This window comes from Homo sapiens, chromosome 11 (assembly GCF_000001405.40).
Source record: "Homo sapiens chromosome 11, GRCh38.p14 Primary Assembly".
NCBI lineage: Eukaryota > Metazoa > Chordata > Mammalia > Primates > Hominidae > Homo > Homo sapiens.
Genome location: NC_000011.10, coordinates 15,220,606 through 15,244,122, shown reverse-complemented (window position 1 = coordinate 15,244,122; position 23,517 = coordinate 15,220,606). Strand labels below are relative to the sequence as shown.

The following is a 23,517-nucleotide window of genomic DNA, read 5'->3' as shown; positions in this document are numbered from 1 at the left end:
TTTGCATCATTAGGGATAAAAATAAAGCAAGAAGGGAGACAAGGAGACAGAGCGAAATAGAACATAGACCTATCAAGAGAGCAAATAAGACAGAAAAGGGAAATAGCCAAGAAACAGAGAAAAAGAGACAACAGAGAAAAAAGAACAAGAAGGAAATATTAAAACAGACAGAGATGAACTTGGTGAAGAAAAAAGACCAAGTATAAAAAAGAGATGGAGGAAAAAAAAAAAAGAAATAGTGGCAAAGAAAATAAAAGAGAGAGCCCTTAGGGGGAGGGGAGATAATAGGAGAGAGGTAGGGTGAGGTAAGGAGGCAGAGAGAAAAAGGAAGGAGTAGAGAAGGAGAGAAAGGAGTTATGGTGATAAAAAGAGGGGAAGAAGGGAAAGAAGAAAGAGAAACTGCTAAGAGAGAAGGCAAACCCTAGAAAGAGAGCAAAGCAGAAACCAAAACACAACAGAGAGCGGCAGAGAGAGAAGAGACACCCTTACCTCCCCAGGGCCCCCAGAAAGTCTACAGGACATGAACCCTACAGTAGCTCAGAGCACCCCCTCCTCAGTGTGCAGCAGCCTCAAAGGACCCTGCACCCTTGCCAACCCTTCTCTCAGCCTCTGCTTCTCTGGGAGGGTTAAACAGCTAGTCATCCTAGAATCTCATTCCCAGACAGCCTGAAAACACCCAAGCATTAAACAAGCCTGGCAACCTACTGACAGCTGCTTCATTCAGGAAAAATCCATTCTTTTTGGGAGAGATGATCTGCACTGCCACTTTCCCAGACAGGGGAGACAATAAGTGAAACTTCCTCCCTCTACCTGAAGGGAGCCTTTGAAGCTGGGAAACGCCTTGGGGAAGAGCAGGAATGGTGGCTTCTAACTCCATCTGCCAGGCTAGGCTCCAAGTGAATCTCACCAACCAGGAGACCACACTCAAATGTTGGAACACTCCTAGGGACAAACCATGGACACCCCCAAGACTGGGAGCTAGGAAAAGAGGAAGCAAGTCTGTCAGTCCCCAAATCAATTAATACATAGTCACCAAACTCAAGGTCCCATGGATATACAAAATGCTGGAAAAAGTCCTCTGCCCTGGGAAGGTTCCAGGCTAGAGGGGGAAAAGTACAAATCCTCCTCCATGAGTCAGTGCTGGAGACCAGTGCTGTAAGAGAGTGGGAGAGAAAGAGCATGGCTTGGAACAAGATGGTCTGGTTGAAAAGTGCAGGCCTCTAGAATCAGGCAGGCCTATGTCTGAATTCCAAGAGCCTCCCCTTAAAACACCTGGGACAAAGATAATGGAACCTGCCTTGGACTTGGTCAAACAAAACCCAAGAGAGGAGGCTCAGGTTCATGCTGTGTACTCTCTGGCTTTGCACCACAGAGAGCTCCTGGAAAATTTTGTGAAGAAGAGAGATTTAGATCTAAGCTTGGAAGGATTGGCAGAATTTTAATACACAGATTTACAGAGAAAACATTTGCTGGGAGCAAGGATCACGGCACAGTTCAGGGTGTTCTGGCTTAGCCCAGGTGGACAGGGCCTGGAGAGAGTGGTAGGTCTGCAGCCCTAGGGATGGGTTGGAGCCAGACTGAGAAGGGCCGAACAGATGGACAGTGGCCCAGAGATAATGAGGAACCACAGAAAGGTTCCATGGGGGTTTCATGAAAGTGTCATGATTATAAACTGTCATTAGGAAAATTAACTCAGAAGCCACACGGAGAATGGATTAGGGAGGGAGGGGTTCTCTTCAGCATCCACCAACTCATCCACAAGATATAATCCTTTTTCGGCTTGAAAGTCCTTCAAGTGATTAAAGATAGTAGCCAAGCTCTTCTGTGTGCTCTCCTTCACACTAATAAAAATGATAGCTGTAATAATCACAAGCCTTCATATCTGAATGGAGTTTTATAGTTTCCCAAGTGCTTTCAATGCTACCAACATTTCCTCAGGGCCTATTCAGTGTCAGGCAGTGGTAGTTGGGGCCAATCATTACATGTTAATTTCCTCTCACTTCACTTGCTAGAACAGGCAGAATTAAGAGGATCTGTGAACTTGAATGAGAAAAAGTTACATCTTTATTTTCACCAACCTGTAACTGAAACTTAGCATTTCCTTCAGTTGCAATGTGAATGCAGCAACAAACCATGGCATCTTCACAAACCCTGTGATTTGTGATTTCCCAGTAGAAATTACAAATACTTTCACAGCCCGTGAAAGTTGTTGAAAATATTTTCAAATACCATTTATGGTCCACATGAGTCAAGATGACAATACTTACTAGGCTTACTGCTAGGTCTTATTTAATGATGTGTTGACTAAAAAGCAAATATATTAATATATCACATACTTAAATAGTTTAATAATTTTTAATATAATTCACTTTGGTTTTAATTCTATATATTTTACTTTTTTGCATTTAAAGGATTATTCTGAGAAGGGCTCCGTAAGCTTCACCAGAGTACCAAAGATACAAAAAGATTAAGATTACCTTGAATGTGCCAAAATAAAAACCACAGCAGGAGGGCAGAGATGTTTGTCTTTTTTACCTGCAGCTGTATCCCCATAGCCTAGAACAGTGAATGGAACGCAGAATCATTCCATAAACATTTATTGAATAAAATGTATAGCACTGAGTGACTTATCAAATGTCACACAGCTCATTAATGGTACAACCAAGACAGGTCTGATTGACTGCAATGCCCCACTGTTTCTACAACGGCACAACGCCCATCAGAAACTCCCAGAAAAGAGACAAGCTCAGCTCAAAATGGGCTGAGGAGAGGACTTTACTGTGAGACAGCTTGAAGGATCTTTAAATCCATCACTTCCCCCTTATGTTCTTTGAACACAAGAGCCAGCACTTTCTTCTGGAAGTTAAGGGTTGTGTTTATAGAGTGGCTTCCCTACTCCTAAATGTTCCTAAATGGAAGCTACTCTACTTTGGGAGTCCTTAGAGACCTAGTAGGGAAGAATATATAGACGAAGCATGCATTTTCTCTCTGGTACTATTGATTATTTCATGGTGGACCCCTAGCAAAAAGAAGTTGGGTGGGGACTTCCTAGGAGACACTTGCTTGTGTTCAAGGTGAAGATCCAGGTGGCTGCTGAATAGTCCACTCTGTCTTGTCATGTTCCTTCTCTTTCTATTCCACAAAGGAGGAGAGAGCTACAATGCTGGAAGAGCACCAGCAGATGGGCTCCCTGTAGGGACAAGTGGAGGTTTTTCTCACTTTATTCCCTTTGGAATAGGCAGGGGATATCCCTATCCTAGCTCCCATGTTCTGCAGGCACCATGACATAGACACGACCAGCTAGCGTTCCACAGGAACCTCAAAGGTTCCTGGTTCCTAAAATTGTAGTGGTAGAACAGAGGGAAGAGGGAGTTTCTCAGCCCTCATCTTTCACACATATGACCTCATATAATTTTCATCATGATTTTATGAATTAAGTGAAACAAATATTACAATGTTCACAATCCTAAAGAGAAAAGCTAAAGCCCAGAGAGGTTTTATGGCTTACTGAAGCCAGCCACAGCACAGCCGGTTCTCCTGGCCCCCTTGGCTGCATTCCGAAGGCCAGGGGAAAAGCTGGGGGAAGACTGAGAACTCACCAGGCAGGCCACAAGCACGGCGTCACTGCTGTTCCTCTCTGATGGGGATCTGCAGAGCTCGATGAGACGGGACATGCCTGTAGGAGACACAGGGAGAGCCTCAGGCCCAGGACAGGGCCCAGCCAGGCCTGACCCAGAGGTTCTGGGCCTCCCTTGCACACCCAATCTGCCAGAGAAGGGGACTGAACCCACCTCGGGGAGTCTGTGGTGGAAACTTACTACTCCCTCAGTGGTGAACAGACCCGGGTCAGGGTCAGGCCAAGCTGAAGAGTCCAAGCCAAACCCACAGATGCGGGTTAACATTTGAATCTTTACCAGACAAAATTCCTAACTGTGTCTTTTTTTTTCTCAAGTGCCAATTTCAATCAGAAAATATACTGTGGCTAAAATAAAATAAAACTACAGACTCTACTAATATTTCCTAGGGCTTTACTGAGGAGAGTTAAGTGAATGACTTAGCTTTGCAATGCAGACTGACTTCTTTTTACACTTTAAGAAAAAAAAGACACCCTCATTATACGATAGTAGTAGAAGGTATGCAAATGCAGTCTGTGTGTCCATCTTCTGTAAGGTCTTGAAGGAACAGGAACCCTCTGCTGCCCCAGGCTGTCCCTCTGGGTACCTGGATGATTGGTGACACTGCCATGCCTTTTCTCATGCTTCTTCCCGAAGAGCCCTTTCTCAGCCTTCACATAGGAGCAACTTACCCATCAAACCACAGCAGAGGACTCACCCCCTTGTTAAACCATTCTTTGACTCACCCAGATAAACATGAGCTACTTCTTGTGCATGCCAAATGCACCATGGACATGCTTTGGGTGTCACTCCCATGATACTGAAGTGAGAATATCTCTTTTTTTATCTGTCACCTCCATGAGGCTGTGAGCCCCTGGGGTCAGGACAATGTCATATCCAGTGTTACATGCCCAGCGCTCAGAACAGAGCTTAGCATAGGGTGGGTGCTCTGACAATATTTGTTGGGTAAATAAGTGACTGAATGAATGAGCATGTTAATGGGTGAATTAATGAATGAGTTAATAGTGAATAATGAAGTCATGAATGGGTTAATGAATAAATGAACTAAAGGATAAATTAATGAGTAAATGAACAAGTGAGTAGACAAGTAAATAAATGAGTATATGAATAACTGAGCAAGTGAATAAATGAATGAGTGAATGAAAGAATGGGGTTCTTATTAACAGTCTGCAGGTGAGTCACTGTTCTGGCCAACTTTCACCTCTCTAGGTCCTTTCTCCCTCTTGCTTCGGCCCCAAGTTACAAACTAGACCAGCGGCTGCACCCCTGAGCCTCCACCCCTGAGCCCCCAGAGACAGGGCTTATGCCAGCCAGCTCTTGCCCTGTGTCCACTGTTGCCACTGTGAAATCAGAGCTGCTCCCACCCCCAATACCCCCACTCCACTCCAGCCACAGCCAGAAAGCACCACTCACAGCTGAGCCGCACGGCCTCCCGTGCCACATCTGGGTCTCGGCTGAGACGAGCCAGGGTCACTGCAGCTTTCTGCTGGACTCGCTCACAGGCTGCCACTTCAGCAGGAGTCCCAGACCTTGGTTTTTCAGACAGCATGCCCATGATAAGCTGGACCCCTAGGCAGGAAGCAAGGAACAGTTGGTACCTACCCCAGCATGGAGCCTTCCCCATGGGGCCAGCTGGACAGATGGCTGCAGGGTGCAAGCAAAGGCTGTCAGGATGACTTCAGGGGTCTCACCCACAGGGAGGAAGCTGGACAAGGCTGTTCCTCCATGCCTTCTTCTCCTGAGGGTGTCTCCATGTACCAAGTCACTATACTTGGGAGGAGCATCTGAAGACATCTTTATTTTTTAATGCTATTATTGAGCTTTTACTACACACTCAGCACTGTGCTAAATGCATAGTAAATGCATAATGCCCTAAAACCTTCCAGTAGCCTCATGTATTAGGTACCATTACAATTCCATTTTGAAGCCCAGAAAGAAGTGAAGTATCTTGCCCAGTGTCACATGGTTAGCAGTTGGGGGAGCCGCTATTAAAATTCAGATGTAGCATCACATTTAGGATTAAGAAAACGAAAGAAACTCAGATAACTGGTTTCTCTACATCACCTCTTCACTTCTGATACTGGCTGCTTCTGAGACAGGTCCAGTGGTGATGAATCCCCCAGGTAAGAGGTGATCCAAACCTAAGCTGGATATTGACTAGATCAAATGTTTTAGAGTAAATTCAACCTGGAAAAGGGTGCAGTAGTTAGACTGAGAGTTTTCAACCGAATAATCTCTGCTGAGAAGCCTCCTACCTCTCCCTGAAACCAGATTTGTCTTCTGATTGTTCTAGAAACCATACCCATGTCCGCTCATACCTCCTTGCCTTTACCCACTCTTTCTTTCTACAAGGGATGCCATTTTCCCTCTTGACGCTCCATCTAAAAAACTCCACCCTGCAGGTTGTAGCAAAAGTTCATCTTCTGTGTGAGCTGTTGCCCAACTGCCCATCCCACACTCCCCTCTTCTGCACCCAGTGGCTCCTGCCAGCTTAGAACTTAAGCCAGACATGACCCAAGGATATAGTTTTGCTTTGTTTTGTTGCCCCATATAGTGTCTACAATTTTTTAGATTTTTGATAGTGTGCTAACTGGAGGATTTCTATAAAAATCTAGATTTCTGACTTCTGAAACTGCCTCCTGAATTTTAACCCTAGGACCTCATTTCTGCACAACAAATTGTTAAAGCTTATTATGAGTTCCTTCTTTAAAAGAGATTGATCCTGTCTCTGGTGAGCTCGCCTCGTCCATTTACATTACCTGTCTGAGTTTTGTAGGCATCTAAGTTTGCAACCTGTTATTTAGACCATGGACTCTCAAAGCCCAGTCTGCACAACAAGATTTGCCCTGTCCAGACCTTAGAGGCCTGTCTTCCAGTAGACACCAGTTGCATTGACACCATTGTTGATTCCTCAAATCCTGCCCTGCTTTGGAAAATAGCTCCTTCATTAAACTCTCTTCAGGTAAACCCCGTGAGACTGCCACTGTTTCCTGAAAGAGCAGGGGGGCTTAGCATAGTGCTCATTCTGTGCCAGACAATCTTCTAACGTGCTTCATGTTAATCCTCACAACATCCTTATGAGGTAGGGATTATTCTCATTTTGCAGATGAAAAAACAGAGAGGTCATATGGTTAGTAAACAACAGTGCCAGGATTCAAACCCACAGAGTATGGTTCCAGTTTTCAACCTCAACCACCATGCCAACCTCCCTCTGTTGCATTATTCTATTGTAGATGTTATATTTTTATCATATGTCACTTTTGTTAAGTTGTGCTCTCTGTCTAGACTGTGAGATCCTCTAGGACAAAGACAGGGATTTAGTTATCTCTGTTCTCATTGTCTAGCACAATGCCAGGCACATATTAGGTCTCAATAACTGTTTACTGATTCAGTCAGTCAATAGCACTTTGTGAACCATAAAACCCTCTACAGATGCCAGATATTCCAATCTCAAATTCACAGGCCTATGGAGACCCACTCCCACTGAACACTTCAACGTAAGGCTCTATAAGTACCGAAAGAACGGAGCACAGATGCAGTAGCTCAGCTTCATGGCCTCAGCTGGCTCAGCAAAGTTTCTCATTATTAGCTCAATCACATAAAATTAACACAAAATGATGTCCTTCAATTAGTAACAGAGCAATGGGGGATGGGAAAGTGTATGTTTGTTAAGACAGCAGGGAAGCCTGGGAGAAGGGGGTTTAGCAAGAGCAGAGGCAGCGGGCACAGGCTCCCAGCTCACTCCGCCTCATTAGCGTCTCTGGTTTCCAACCGGTTGCTAATTGCTCCCTTATTTCCCAGTCACAGGAAGCCCTCACCATCTCTGCTCCCAGCTGCAAGGCAGCCACCACCTTGTCCTTTGGCAGAAACAGCTTAGATCAGCTTCCAGGCCAATGAAACCTGGCCCACCCCACCTGGACCTTGGTGACATGTTCAGCACAAGATGGAACAAGGGAGCAAGTGGGAGAAGAGATGCACTCAGTGAGGGCTCAAGACATTCAGGTTGCCCTGACCTGCTCTCCCATTCTCACCCCTTCCTCAGCTTTCTACTGTGGCCAAATCCAATAAGATAGGAACAATTTAAAGTTGGAATGTATCCCTTGGTAGGAATAGATTTTTTTTATTTGAGGATCATAATGAAATATTTGCCTTCTCCTCATGACCCTATTAAAATAGCAACCACCACCCCCCCACCCTGAGACTACCTTACTCTTCTTCCCTGCTTCATTTTCCCCGGGGCACTGTCACGCTATTATTGCTGGACATTTGCTATCTTCTTATACATTATCTGTCTTCCACTAGAATTTAGGCCTCACAAAAGCAAACAAATATTCACATATATAGACCCAGTTGCACACATACAAGCACACACATATATGCTCAGGCAAGCATGGAGACACGTGTACCTATTTTTTTTTTTTTTTTTTTTTTTGAGACAGAGTCTCGCTCTGTTGCCCAGGATGGAGTGCAATGGCGTGATCTCAGCTCACTGCAACCTCCGCCTCCCAGGTTCAAGTGATTCTCCTGCCTCAGCCTCCTGAGTAGCTGAGATTACAGGCGCCCACCACCACACCCAGCTAATTTCTGTATTTTTAGTGGAGACAGGGTTTCACCATGTTGCTCAGGCTGGTCTCGAACTCCTTACCTCAGTTGATCCGCCCACCTCTGCTTCCCAAAGTGCTGGGATTACAGGCATGATTCCTGCGCCCGGCCACATGTACCTATTTACATACCTGCACAGGCATTCACACAAGCACAAAGACACAGTCCCCTACATCCAGATAATCCACATAACATGTACAATGCTGCAAAGACATACCATTTTCCTGAATGATGTCAGAGGCACACTGTTCTAGGACAGACATGTTTGCCAAGATGGTCACAATCTGGAAAAGATAATTTAGAAACCTCAGAAAATGAGCACACCTGATCCTAATAGTCCTCCCTACAGACAGGTCAGCCAGGGGCTACAAAGCTTCCTTTTATCCCGTGACTCCTTCCTGTCCACCGGGCCTATCCTTCCACGGCATTTTCTTCCATCCTTATGGGCTCCTGCCACCCAGATGTATTTCCCCGGTGACTAATGCCCATTTATCAGCCTATGGCTATAGGACGGCCCCCAAGGGCCCCAGGACACCCTGGAAAGACTAGCATAACCCTGGGTGAAGTTGGGGCCCGGTTGTCTTTCTGCTCTGGTCCCCAGTCCTGAAATGCAGACAGAACCAGCAGGTCCCTGGCCCCTGAAACTCCTCTGTGCTGGCTTGTCCTCCTGACAGCTAGCTCTTACTCTGGATTGACTTCTTCCATCCAAGCTTCTTTCCTGGATACTAACCCTCACCTACTTTCAACCTGTGATGAATGAAGGCTAAGGTCACGTTAGAGGGCATGAGTAGGAAGAGGCAGCGTTATCAAGCATTGGGTATTACATGGAATCTGATGAGAAAGTGCATACTCAGCTGCACATTGCAAGTCTGTGGTAAGCCTCGCTTATCAGTCATCACTGAAAGTCTCTGCCTGTAGGAAATGGGGTATTGACACCAGGTGGACAGTGAGTCTCAGTTACAGCTTTGTGGGTTGTAACCAGCCTCCCCTGGTACAGTCAAGGGAGAAAAGAACTCACAGCACAAACTGGATTAAGGAATGGCCTGACAGAGGACTCATTCCAGGGACCCCAAACTGCAAAAGGGTGCCAAAATGCTACTGGAATAGATTGGGAACATGGCACCTGTTAACTCAGATACCACCCACAACACTGCTCCTGACATAAATAGCAAGATGAAAATTCACCCACTTTCACAGAAATGGACAGCGCTCTCAAGTGGTAATTAAAATGAATAATAAAATAAAATTTAAAAACACTTCTCACTGGTACAAGCCTCTCTCTCGAAAGGTTTCTTCAAAGCTTGCAGGATGGTATAAGCAAAAACTGTGTCCCCCCTCCGCTGAGACAGCAGTTGACAGTCTACTGAGTAGAATTCAGGCAGCTAAAATTCTGAAACTGGATAGTAATGTTATGTCTACCAAGAAAGAGTATTATCTACATTTTAATTACTCTGGATAACACATATTACTATTTTACTCTGGATAACAAATACATTTAAAAATGTCTTCTTTTAAACAGAAAGGAAAAACTTTACCATATTAATAGAATATCTATCTCTCCCCTTTCCTTCTAAACACATATTGGAAGGGGATTCCACATTCTTTGGCTGCTGCAGCATCTGTGTGTGTGACAACCCCTCCCAGCTCAGACCCCATCAGGGGCCTGGTTGGATAAGCATGACTACAGTGGGTTGCCAGAGGAAGGACAGGAGAATACTCCAGAACCTTTATCCTGAAAGCAACTCTGTACCACCAGGTGTTTTAAGAAGGGGGTGACTAGCTCCTATTTGCAGTTAAGAAAATAATAGGACTAAAGGAGGTTTAGGACTTAGAGGCTCTTTTACGTATTTATTTACTTGTTTTTGCACTTTTTAAGATTGCGTTTGTGGGCTCAGTGGAAGGAGTTAGAGGAAAAAGCTGGGTTGGAAAGTTCCCCAAGAGGCATCGTGTGCACATTCTTATGAGGGAGGAGGTACACGGCCAAGTCCATGTCAGTTTAGAGTTTGTTTGGCTATCTCTGGGCTGTTAGCAGAAAGCATGGACTCTGTTTCCACCACACAGGGGCTGAGACATCCCACCATCACCAGGCTGGCCTTTCTGAATAAAAACACTTACTTGACATGCAGATTCATGGAGGAAGGAAGGAAGGAGGGAAGGAGGGAGGAAGGGAGGTAAAGGAAGGAAGGAAGGACAAACTAGGAAAAGAAAAGGAAATCTTTGTCTGCGGCAACGGGTTCATTACACAGTAATTATTAGCCGTGTCACAGGCACCACGTAGGTCTTTGTGTCAGACTAATTTAGATCCTGTTAATGAAAATTACTTCCTCTTTACAGAGCCTGTACCCCATGTGGTTTTCTGGAGGTGCAGATGAAGTATTCAATTAAGTACAATTTGAATAAATGCCAATTATGCCCTGCTTTGAGTCCCCCTTGTGAAACATCCTTGTGTGCACCATAACATAGAGGGGAAAGAGGTCACTGTTTATCCTCACAGTCAAGTCCATGGGTGGGATTTTAGGGACAGCTGTTTTACCTGGTTGGATACAAGTTAACAATGCTGTCAGGGGGCAGAGTGCAGGAGCCAGGCAGACAGTTTCCCCAACCCAGGCTAATTCAGTCTTGTTTGATGATGTTCAATTAAGTTCTATTCCACCTAAGTGAAAGGGCACCATTCCCCCTGCATTTGTTTGGTGAATCCAGAGGACATCACCTTGAGAAAGGCCCTAGGTGAGAGGTCAGTATAATGTGATAGCTAAGCGTGTAGCTCAACCTACATCTAAATCCTGGCTCTATCACATTTTGCTATGATCTTGGCCATGTTACCTAACCTTCTGTGGCTTGGTGTATTCATTTTCTATTGCTGCTATAACAAATTATCGCAAACTCAGTGGCTTAAAATGACACAATTTTATCTTGCAGTTCTAGAAGTCAGAAGTTCTAAATGAGTCTTACATAGCAAAAATCAAGTTGTTGACAGATCTTCATTTATTCTGGGGGCTCTAGGGGAAAATCAATTTCCTAGTTTCTATTTTCCAGCTTCTAGAGGCTGCTCTCATTCTTTGGCTCAGGGGAGTATATCCTTCTGACCTTTGCTTCCTTAATCACGTTTGAGTCTCTGACTCTGACCCTCTTCCCTCCCTCTTACAAGAACTTCTGTGATGACACTGGATTCACCTGGATAATCAAGGATAACATTCCTATGTCAAGATCTTAACTCAATCGCATCTAGAAAACCCGTGTCGCTATATAAAGTAACTTATTCACAGGTTTTGAGGATTAGGATGTGGACATCCCTGGGGGCCCTACCACAAGAAATAAAAATAACTCAGCCAGGCACCATAGCTCATGCCTTTAATCCCAGCTTCTCCACAGGCTGAGGCAGGAGGATCACTTGAAGCCAGGAGTTTGAGATCAGCCTGAGCAATATAACAAGACTCCGTCTCTAAATAAATAAGTAAATAAATAAAAGGTATCTTTTAAGTCCTGTATGAGCATTCAATGAGTTAATATCAAGCACCCTTTGTTAAATAAAATAAATATGGCTCGCTCTGGGCAGGAGAACCTGAAAGGACTCAAGCCTTGAAAGACTGTGTCAAGAAACACTAGCCAAGTAACCTGCAGCACTCGGGGGGCTGAGCATCCGTGTGGCCAAGACACGCTGCTAATGTGAGATCCCTCCCAAAGGTGAGCCTGTCCCAGAGCAAGTCAACCCTTCCCATCAGAAGAACAGCAAAGTGTGTATTCACTACCTTCTGTGGCATTTTCAAATTATTTTTTCTTTGGCCTCCAAAGACATGAAAATTGAGGCAGACAGGAAATTGATCAAGGATAGCAGGGGACCTCCCATGTCACTGGTTCGAGAAGAAATGTCCCTGTGAGGTAGGAAGGAGGTTGGCGAGGCCTTTTGATGTCAGCACACACGGAGGAGAAACACTTGTCTGCAGGCCGATGCCAAGGTGTGAACCAGGCCTGCCTCACATCCTAGCAGTGTCTCAGCAGTCAGCCCTGATCACACCCTGACTCTGCCTGTGTTCCCTTGCTGGAAACTAATACTGAAGACCAAACTGCATTCAAGGCAAGTGAAGAATACCCAGGACACCCAAGTAGAGACAGGTGCTCTGATCTAAAGAACTTTCAACAAAGAAAGCCTGGCATATATTTCATGAAAAGTTATAATTACTTTTATGCTGTGCAGAAATTAGGACCAAAAGGCCAACAGCTTGTATGACTGTAATTAGAATTATTCTTTAATTGCCAGATGAATATTTAGATTTCTATTATCACCGTGTTAACTCTGAAATTTGCAGCAACAATGTCAACTGCAGCCCTGAGAACAAAAAGCAGAATAATTTTCAGCCTCTAGCAAGCTTGTCCAACCCATGACCTACAGGCCACATGTGGCCCAGGACAGCTTTGAATGTGGCCCAACACAAATTTGTAAACTTTCTTAAAACATTATGAGATTTTTTTGTGCGTGATTTTTCTTTTTAGCTCATCAGCTGTTGTTAGTGTTAGTGTATTTTATGTGTGGCCCAAGACAATTCTTCTTCCAGTGTGGCCCAGGGAAGTCAAAAGATTGGATAGCACTGCTCTAGGGGAAGCCCAGTGCTTCTCTCCACCCTCTTCCCTCCACACCACTTCCTCTACCAAAGAGCAGAAAGAATCCAGACAAGGACATTGATCTGTAGAATTAAGGGATCTAAGGGAAGAAAGGTGGATCTCTTTGAAAATACTTTCTTTTCCAAGGCCAGAGAGGCAAGAGAGCCCAGGAGAAGGTATAGCCCTCTCCTCTTCTGCTCTCTTTTGAGCCTTTTCCTCCCTCTGGCAGACATGGCCCAGGGCCCAGGGCGCAGGACCTGAGAGGGCTGGACAGGTGTGCAGACTAGGAGAAGGGCACTGACCTAGACCCAGAGACAAGCAGATGGCTTCTTCTCTCTGGTACGTGGGTCTTCTCATTGACAGGACCAGCTTTCCCTTACTACTAAAGTGGCAAGACTGGTGGGCTAAGATTTAGGCTTAGGAGACCACATGATAAAAGCCATAGAACTGTTTTGGATGTAGGTCCCGTGCTGCTGGCAAACAGGCTGAAGGGCTCTCCTGGGTGAGGCCCAGCTCCCTCGCCCCAGGGATTACATGAATGTTGGGCTGTAAACCCACCGTATTAGAGAGCATATAAAAGTCAGACCATATTCTCTGTGCTTGGTTTGCCCTTGGCTTTGTAGGGAAGGGTTTCTGGAGCAGGTCAGGACAGGGTGTTGTGATCCTGGATTCCTCCAATACTACACAATATCCCTGATATGTTTTGGATCTGTGTCTTCACCAAAATCTCATGTTGAATTGTAATCCCCTATGTTAGAGGTGGAGCCTGGTGGGAGGTGATTGGATCATGGGGGTGGACCCTTCATGAATGATTTAGCACCATCTTCATGGTGCTATTCTTATGATAGTGAGTGAGTTCTTGTTGAAAAGGGTGAAGCACCTCCCCCTTCACTCTCTCTTGCTCCTGCTTCTGCCATGCGATGTGTCTGCTTCACCTTTGCCTTCCATCATTATTGTAAGTTTTCTAAGGCCTCTCCAGAAGCCAAACAGATTCCAGCTTCATGCTTTCTGTATAGCCTGTAGAACCATGAGCCAATTAAACCTTTTTTCTTTACAAATTACCCAGTCTTAGGTAATTTATTTTTATTTTTATTTTTGAGACAAGGTCTGGCTCTATCATCCAGGCTGGAGTACAGTGGTGCCATCTTGGCTCACTGTAACCTCCATTTCCCGGGCTCAAGCCATCCTCCCACCTCAGCTTCCCAAGTAGCTGGGACTACAGGTGTGTACCACCATGCCTGGCTTTTATATATATATATATATATATATATATTATATATATATATATATATATATATATATATATAATATATATATATATATATAAATATATATATAATATTATATATATATAATATATAAAAAATTTATATATATATAAAAATGTTTTTTATAGAGATAGGATTTTGCCACGTTGCCCAGGCTGGTCTTGAACTCATGAACACAGGCAATCTGCCTGCCTCAACCTCCCAAAGTACTGGGATTACATCAGGCATTTCTTTACAGCAATGTGAGAATAGACCAATACAATTGCCACCACATTAACTATATTTCCTGACCCTACCTTCCTGTTCCAAAGCTTACATTCCCTGTCTCCGACCCATCCCAGTCTCTGGTTCTGTTAGAGAACCCATCCCATTCATTATTGGGTATTCGCTTTGCTTCTAAGTACTTTATGAGCGTTATCCCATCTAATCATCATAATGACATGAGGGAGGGAACAAATGTTATTATCCCCATTACACAGATGAGGAAATTGTGGCTCAGAGATTAAGTGATTTGTCCAAGGTCACATAGCTGGGAAATGGCAGAACCAGAATGTGAACTCAAATCTGTCTGAACTAAAAACCTGTGCTGTTTCTAATACGTCATATATGTATATGACAGAGCTTTATAAACTATAGAGAGATTTTGAGATGTGAGACAAAAATGAAACCCCTAGTGACTGGCATTCCCTGATAAATGGTATTCACAGTGAGGTCCCAGAAATGTTACAAAATCTAGTCATTCTAAAATGCCAAACAGATGAGGTATTACTGTGGGAAGTATATACTAGCACTCCTTCCCTTATGAAAGCAGTTAATTCCTGAAGGCCACAAAAAGTCAGACTCAGTAAAAATCTCTATTATATATTAGATAAGATAATCAGGTCTCTTCCATCCTAGATTGTCCCTGCTTGACGGATAGGCCAGAAGTTCACCAACAAATTTGGAGGCAGCCCGTTTCCTACCTCCCCCTGTCAGATCTGTAGCTGGATTCTATGGGCAGTATGGCTCCTGGAAAATACCTCCTGGGCATGAAAACATAGGACTATTCAGATTGCTTGTCAGGCTTCTCAATGGCTGACCATGTCAGCTGCAGCCCGTGCCACCTTCCTGTGGATTAGCTGAAGGGTATAGAAGAGCCTAGGTCCAAGGCTGCCCTCACCAACGTCCATACCCCAAGGGTGGCGACAGGATAGGCATACCCAACGAGGCTTCTGTTGAACAAATTAAGTGGACCTGGCTTGCCAGGATGATGGAAGGGTTCTCATTGTCCAAACAGAGGTAGTCTGTATAGATCCAAGACCAAGAGGCTCCACACAGCATTGGCGTCATTGGCAGATTCATTACCGGAAGCCTCATGGGGCATTTAATCTCCTAAGTATTTTAGGGGGCAGTGAGCACTTCAAAGCCTAATTCATCTTCTTTGTCTTCATTACAGAGAGCCCTCTGATCACCTTAATCCTCCCACTGCAACAGGAAAGAGCCATTTGTTTCTTTAATGGGTGCACTTTCACTAGCTAAGTGGTTGTTCTGAGACAGGACAGAAGGTGAAGCCATCCTGAGGACAGTGGGTGACGTGCCTGGCTCAGACAGTGGAGTAACGTGAAAAGGTACCGACTCCAGGTGCAGAGAGAACTATCTGCTGGCAGCGCAACCACATTCTCTCCCTACCCTGATCTCCTTTTCCTAGGACTCAGTGAGGCTTCAAGAGGGGGCTAGTCATTCCTTGTGATAAGAAGGGGACTTCTACACATAGAGACAGAGGATGTTCAAGATGGAAGAGGTCATGCCCATTTTACAGATGAGGGGACTCCTCTCTGGAGGGTCCCATTCAATGCTGTGTGCCACACATTCAAAGGCCAATTGTAATAACATTGACAGTGGCTTCCATTGATTTAACAGTTTCTATGTGCCAGAGTCTGTACCAAGAGTTTATATTTATTTATTAATTAATTTAATTCTTATTTCAACTTTGTAAAATATGTATTATTTGTTTCCATTTTACAAATTAAGAAAGTGAGACATAGAGTGAATTGCCCAAAGTGACATGATTATTAATAGCAAAAAAGCCTCAAACTCAGGTTGTCTGAATCCAAAATTCCTTGTCTTATTGCCTCACTACTGGATCTTGTAGGAAATGACCGGAGTCAGCCACAGGAGAGGCACTTGAAGGTGAAAGAACCTAAAATTATGTCAGGTAGATGAAAGACCCAGCAACTGGAGGTATCTATCTGAAGAGAACATGAGCATGAGTAAGGCGGATCACAAAAAGTGGGCCCTCCTGTCTCCCTCTCTACTACCAAGGGTATGTCTATGGTAGGCATGGGGCATGTCCCCCTCAGGAGTCAATCAAGCCAATAGCCAACCAGGGGGTCACCACTTTATCTGTTACTGTCATACCTTCTCTCTACAGGGACCTCTCCAACTCTTAGAAGTAATAAGATCAGACTGGAAAGGAAGTCTGGAATCATACATATCATACATAGTTTGGAGGGCCAAGTTGAGGATTTTGGATAATTCACTACTCATGCTCTTCTTTGGAGCATCAGGTTTAAAAAGTAATGATATTCACCATTTATTAAGAACTTAATAGGGGCTAAGCCTTACATCAGGTCCTTGCATATCTTATTACACTCACCCTCACAATAACCCTGCAATATAGACATTCATGTCCCAATTAATAGATGCAAAAACCCAACACCCAGGAGCCTTTGACTTGCTCAGTGTCACTCAATTGATAAATGGCCCAGGCAGGACCAACACCCAGTCTGTGGTTCAACAGCTGCACTACCTCCTTTCTTCAAAGATGACAGCAGATGAGAGTCAAAGATCAAGTTCTAAGTCAGGATTTAAATTTAATCCTCATTTAAATGCTGGCTAGCTGCCTGCCAACCATTTAATTTTGGGGACATCCTCTTGAGCCAAAATATTCTTATCTATAAAATGGGGCAAATATCACCAGTGTCACAGTATTATTAGAACCCTCATACGCAAATGCTTAGATACTAGAAAATTATCTCCGAATAGGAGCTTCTACGGTCAGCTGCCCTTTCACAGGCGATTCTGAGGATAAGAAATAACTGACAAAGTTTGGGGAACTTCACCAAGGGCACCAGCTCTAGGCTAGAGGCCTTAAAAAATCCTAGGGAACATGGATCATGCCCTCAGAGGAAGAAAATCACATGAAATAATTAAGAGGAATAACCTCATTAGATAAGTCAACACTGCATTGTGAGGTATGAATTCTAAGAAAAGGAGGCAATTCCAGAGGGCTGAAACCATCAGGGAAGGCCTTCCTGCAGCTGCTGGCATGGAACAGAAACCAAAGCAGCTTCAGTTAAGAGATAAGCCTGGAAGAGGTGATGGTTTAGGGGCTAAAATGCAGACAGGGATAAGCTGAGTTGAGGACGAGAGGATCATGTAACTTAGAGCTCAGGTACTGGGAAGAATTTACAGAGACCACCTAATCTACCACCCCCACTCCTTGGTGGTGATGTGGGAGGCCAAGTGTGGCCAGAGGTGAAATGGTATAAAATTCTAGAACATCAGAGTTCAAAGAGCCTTTAAAATACCCCCATTCTATGTTTTCAAACACTTTTAGTAGTAAAACCCCCTTTCTACCAAAGAAAACCTTTCATGGAGCTCAAATATACATAGACAATTATGACTGATGTAGAAGCTGAGGCCCTGAATGAAGGTTCTGCTCCAAGCCCCTGTTTCTCATGGAGATAAAGAGGGGAGCAGTTCACTATAGGGTTCAGTGTTAGACGGCCACCAACATGACCAGGACACAGACCTTCAGAGGAGGTCTAGGCACCTTCCATGGGTCTTTCCGCCTCCCAGAATAGGCAATCTGAACAGAGATTGAGGAAGGCCCTACAGTGGTTGGGATGGGCAAAGCAGGTAGGAGATCTCGTAGGGAGGCTTCAAGGTCAATGAGAGACACAGAAAATATATTCTTTTACCTTCCTGCAGCATGTAAAGCTCATAATGGGATGGGCAAAGAGGGTAGGAGTTCTCATAGAGAGGCTACAAAGTCAATGAGAAACGTGGAGAATATTTGCCCTCCTACAGCATGCAAAACTAACAGGACTCCCATGCTCTCTCCCCTGCCTCAGAAACTACGTGCTGGCCTCCTAACTTCTGTCTCCATGGCTATGGGCCCTGTGCTCAGTGCCTTCTGGGCGTCTTACCTGGTCCCGAGTGTAAGGCGTGTCCACTCTCTGCTTGTCACTGCAGGCTTCCAGGAGAACACGGATGGCATTCAACTGCAGGAGCATCTCGCAGGCCATTGTGTCAAAGAACGTGATGTTGGCAAGGGCCGCAGAGGCCAGTAGGAAGACTTCCCCTGATGAGGCCTCTTGGCACAGTTCTGGATGGCAAAGAGAAAGAAAATAACTTCCGTGCCAAGTGTTTTCATATCACTTGTCTCATTTGGTTCACACAATACCTCTGGGAGATCGTTTGAGCAGGTGTTATAATACCCATTTTACAGATGAGGAAAGTGGCTACTAGAGAGGCAACAGTATCTGTCTACCCAGGTGGCAAATGGGATTTGAAACCTGGTATGTAATTCTACTCACTCCTTCATCCAATAAGTATTTATTGAATGAACACTATGTGTCAGGTGCCACTGGGGTCTTGGGATGGCATAGTGAACAAAACAGGTCAGGTCCTTGCCTTTGTTGAGCTCACACTTTACTAGTGGGCAAGAGAAAATAAGCTTTTAAAAATTACTATGCATAATTACAAAGTCTGATAAATATGAGGGAGAAAATAAACAAGTGCTAAGAGAATAACTAGTGTTCCGCTGAGGTGCGCAACAAAAGGTGTCCCTAAGAATGTGACTTTACAGCTGAGACCTTAAGGGAAGAAAGGGGCCAGTCATAAAAATACTTGGGGAAACAGAATATTCTAGACCAAAGGAAAAGGAGATACAAAGCCTGTGAGTCCGGAAGGAGCTCTCAGTCCATGTGTGTCTCCGGTAATGCACACTAGCCTGCTGCTAAGCTTGCCTTAAGGAAGAGACTAAAGGTGAAACAGAGAGACTATACCCCTCCAGCTGCCATCAACAGAGCCTCAGTGCTTCCTTTTGGTCCCAGGATAAGGGTTATCTGGCAGCAAGAAAGTCCTATACCAAGCTCCTGAATGTCAGGCTCTTTAATCCTAGTGGTCCTAGCTTAGCCCTAACCAAATTCCCCCATTTACCATCTGTAATTGTACTAAGGGCCTTTAAGGAGCAGAGTAACCTTATCCTTCCACCACCTGACACATCCCCCATGGGCTCCACAGAATCTGGAATGGACGCCCACCTCAGGAGGAGGCATAGATGGGCTCTATCCATGGTGCTTCCCCCATTTCAGTGGACCTGACGTCTGGCCCTCAGCTCCAACTTCACTACCAATCAAGGTACTTCTCCGGTCCAGGCCCTCTCCTACTGATAACACCTTCACAAAACCACAGGAGGCAAGGCCATACTTCAGAAAAAGAGTCCCAGGAGAGAAAGAAAGTTTGGGAGACAAAATTGAGCTGTGTTCTATCCTGGTCCCTAGTTCTTGCCTCCAGACAGTCTATACTTCCAGGTTCTGAAGCAAATGCCACCTCTTAGCACCTACCTGTGAATGCACATTCTGATCCCTACCTTTTAGTTTTAGTAGTAAAACCCTTTTTCTACCAATAACATTAGTCAAACACCTGCAGTGGGCCTTGCACTGTGCCATTAAATTCTGAATACCCTCAAAGTAGAAAATGATTGTCCACATTTACAACTAGCTGAATCTTAGAGAAGCTAGTAGTATCAGCAGCTACCATTTCTTGTTTACTCACTGCTGTACATATTTTTTACTTCATTACATAATTTAATCCTTACAACAATCCCATTTTTATCACTATTTTGTAAATAAAGAAATTGAGGATTCAAATGTTAAGTGATTTGCTCCTGGTCTTATGGCCAGTAAGTAACTGTTTGAGGCTAGAATCAAATCCAGGTCTGCCTGACTCCAAAGTTCCCATTCTTTCTACATTACAAGTTGCTTCTGGTCTCTCAGCCTCTGACTTATTCCCAGCAATGCTTCCACAGATGTGGGTTTTGGTTCTATCAGGAGGGTAATGCCTCCCTCTGGGCAATGTTGCTCCCCACAGCCCAGGTTTGACCATTAGATAATTCAAGCTCTTGATCCAACCACCCAGGACTGGAAAAACAGATTAGCCAAGGTATTAAGAACTCTGATTCCCTTTATCCAATGATTGCCTTATCCTCTGATTTTGGGAAAATCACTGGAGTCCCCAGCCCCTTCCAGGCCACCTCCCTATATCCATGGTTTTGGGTGAGTCTGCAGAGCTCAGTGGCCCACTTTGCTGTAAGATTCCTTCTAGGTCCTAACACTCCCCCTCATTCTCATTCAGTTGCTATTGCTGCCGACACAGCAATTATTAACACAACCACCTAAGTGCCTTTTAATTTTGCTGCACATTTATTTGAACTACAGTCTGAGTCACCTGGGATGTGTTAGGAAGATTAAATTGAGGATTCCAGTGACTCATTTATAAATGTTTCCAGGGAATGGCAAGAAGTTGGAGGGCTATTTCCCACCAAAGAACAGAGCTCTGGCTTCCTGCCCAGAAGATATCTGCTGAATCTCAGAGTGGACTATACAATGCATCTTCATCAGGATGAAACAAATAGGAAGACCCCTTGGCTCAGGGAGAAACCCAGCCTGGGCAGTGAAGCAGGAATGAATACATGACAATAGTGAAAGGTCACTTGGACTACATGTACTTTTGTTTATTTGATAATGTTTATAAATTGAGAAATTTTCTATGAAGTTTACAATTTTTGTCTTATCTTTAAAAGTCTATGCCTTTCCCACATGGTAACAATCAACTGAAATTTACCAGTGACCACACCTTTAGACAGTGCATGGGCTTTTCAATTTGACACAAGACTCAAACACCTTTATTCTTCCACCTGGCTCTCTTCAACTCATTTATGTTTCTTAATGGGCTCTGGTGAATGTTGAATATGAGACTCCTGGCATAAGTGAGTCATAATGCTGTTTTGTGGCCTTAGGAAAGTAACTTAACCCCTCTAGGCTTAGATTTCTTCACCTAGAGAGTATGCTTAGAACTGTAGGGTCTCTTGAGCTCCCTCGAGCCAAGACTTTCAACAATGGGCTTCCATGTTTTCTCAATTTTGAATAAATGTGGACATTGGCAAATTGATTTCTCCCAGCCTGACCTGTGAGTGCCACTGCCCCCATGACTAGAATCAGCCATAAACTCAACTTAACTGATGTCTTCTATGTGCAAAGTACTTGCAGATCTCCAAATTCTAGAGTTAGAAGGACCCTTGAGAGAAACGAGTTGCAATGTCTTGTTTATATTAGGAAAATTGTGAAGTGGGTTTTACAATGTGACATGGTAAGAAGTGAGTGGCGGGATCTCACACAGTACCGGCGCAGGCTTGCTGCACATAACCACTTGAATGGATGAGTGAAAAGCCCGAGTCCAAACCCAGGGTTCTGACTCCTTGCCCAATGTTCTGTGTTGCCCCTAAGTTCATGCTATTTCAGATATTCCCAGCCCTGGCATGGTGACTCCAAGAGCTAATCCTAAATTTTCTGATAAAATTAAATTTCATTCCATTTCAATTAGATACAAAGAGAGTGCCAGAGAAATAGAAACACAGATCACCGTTAGCACTTTTAAAAGAAAGAGGTGGGTCACAAAAAATTCCCTGGGGATTGTTATCCAGACAAGCGCTTTCAGTTTCTATAATTTAGCAAAGGAAAACTAAGAAAAGAGCATATTTTAGATACGGATCTATGATTCTCCTGCTGGGGGTACATATGTTTGAATAGGGGAACCTAGAGGAGTCAATGCTTTCAAGGCCCCATGATATGAGGCCAATGGTGGGATTTTCAGGCAGCAGGTTGTGGTGGGCTGGTGCTCTCTGAGAAACCATTTTCCCCAGTCATTGCTGCCATAGTCACTGGGCACAAGGACTGAGACTTTAGGAAAAATGCCTATCAGAGTCTCTCGATCTGAGTATCTGAACGTCAAAATTTGAGGCCCCATTCCTTTCTGGGGCTTGTCCTGGACTCCCTTCTGAAAGGCCAATGAATCCCAAACTGACAATAATTCAGGTTGCTTCTCAGAGGGCCGCACACATTTTAATAGGAAACTCTTGATAATAGAGCTCATCAAAGCCTAATTCAGATCCATTAATTGTGGGATTTCAGCAAATATGATCATCTATGCAGGAGATATTTGGGGTGCAATGAGTGGCAGATGGGAAGGCCTTCCTGGCTATTTCTGAAGACAACTGTGCCAAGGCCCTCTCTCCTAGTGGTCCCGCTGCCCAGGGTGACTCACTGACGAGGGCTGTCACGATCTCCTCCATGCTCTCCAGGAAGCTACTGAGGTGCTGGGTGACGGGCAGGTGTGGGGAGGTGACCTGGGCCACCACAGCCGCAGCCTCAGCCCGTGTGGCCTCTGAGTGGCTGTTGTCGGTCAGGATGTCGGCCAAGCACAGAACGCCATCCACCTGCAGATGGAGAGAGGGAGCTCCCCTGTGCATCCTGGGTGGACACCACTGCCCATGACATTAATGAGACAGATACAGATTCAGCCCCCACTACATGGAAGCCAGCTCTGGCTTCCCAGAACAGCCCAGGACCCCATGTGGAACCAGGGACAATCCAGTGATAAGGCCCTCATAATGACTCAAATTCTGGCACCTGGAGGCCTCTCCTTTGAGTCCAGCAGAGATCAGTAACCTTTCATGGGCCTCCTAGATAGCGGACATCAAGTCAAGTGTCTAGAGTCAGGACCCTGGTCATCCACCACAGCAAATCGTCATAGAAAGAACAGTCACTTAGAAATCTCACATCCCTGACCTCCAATCCCCTCTTCCTTGCTGTGTGACTTGGCGTTAGTCACTTACCCTCTCTGAGATTCTGTTTCCTCACCGTTCAACAGGGTGTTGTGGGATTGAAGAGATAAAGCAGGCAATGCCTGATCTAGAAGAGATGCTCAGGAAATGTTGGTTTCTTCCTCCCTTCCTCATATTTAGCAACAGGATGAGCTTAGTATTTCCTTCCCCATCTTGTCCTCCACCATTCTCCACTATAGAAATGGGGCTGCTTCCCTGGTGGCCTTGCTTTCTGTGCCCAACCAGTAAGAAGCAAACCTGAAACTGGTGGGACATTAGTGCCAGATAAGAACATGTTTCCAAGCTCTGCCCGGGTCAGATCTGCTCTTGGCATAACAGCTTCTGCTGAGCATGTGCTTACAGTGTGCCAGGTACCATTCTATAGAGTGCACATGTTATTACACAATCTATTCCTTACAATAACCCTCTGAGGTCAGTATTATTATTCCCATTTTACAGACAAGAAAGCTGAGTCACAGAAAGG

The 23,517-nt window shown here is 44.7% G+C and overlaps 1 protein-coding gene across 11 annotated transcripts in view, besides 2 other annotated features; it reads right to left on the bottom strand.

The window, feature by feature from the left end:
* Positions 1 to 23,517, bottom strand: part of INSC (INSC spindle orientation adaptor protein) — a 158,261-nt gene that overhangs the window by 25,554 nt on the left and 109,190 nt on the right. For 8 of the 11 annotated variants that reach the window (XM_006718227.3, NM_001031853.5, XM_017017698.2 and 5 more), the window contains 5 exons: positions 22,475 to 22,646; positions 18,295 to 18,473; positions 8,455 to 8,521; positions 5,049 to 5,204; positions 3,600 to 3,676 (listed from right to left, as the gene is read on the bottom strand). In XM_006718227.3, coding sequence (XP_006718290.1) covers positions 3,600 to 3,676; positions 5,049 to 5,204; positions 8,455 to 8,521; positions 18,295 to 18,473; positions 22,475 to 22,646 — 651 coding nt within the window. Of the gene's footprint in view, positions 1 to 382; positions 2,557 to 3,599; positions 3,677 to 5,048; positions 5,205 to 8,454; positions 8,522 to 18,294; positions 18,474 to 22,474; positions 22,647 to 23,517 lie in introns of those variants that run through there. The other 3 variants (XM_011520086.2, NM_001278315.2, XM_011520085.2) reach the window with 2 other exon arrangements.
* Positions 4,625 to 5,124: an enhancer, noted in NCBI's record as "H3K4me1 hESC enhancer chr11:15260545-15261044 (GRCh37/hg19 assembly coordinates)". NCBI's record gives its function as "activates a minimal SCP1, AML or CMV promoter by ChIP-STARR-seq in naive and primed H9 embryonic stem cells {active_cell/tissue: H9 hESC(naive and primed)}" and the evidence as "EXISTENCE:reporter gene assay evidence [ECO:0000049][PMID:30033119]".
* Positions 5,125 to 5,626: an enhancer, noted in NCBI's record as "H3K4me1 hESC enhancer chr11:15260043-15260544 (GRCh37/hg19 assembly coordinates)". NCBI's record gives its function as "activates a minimal SCP1, AML or CMV promoter by ChIP-STARR-seq in naive H9 embryonic stem cells {active_cell/tissue: H9 hESC(naive)}" and the evidence as "EXISTENCE:reporter gene assay evidence [ECO:0000049][PMID:30033119]".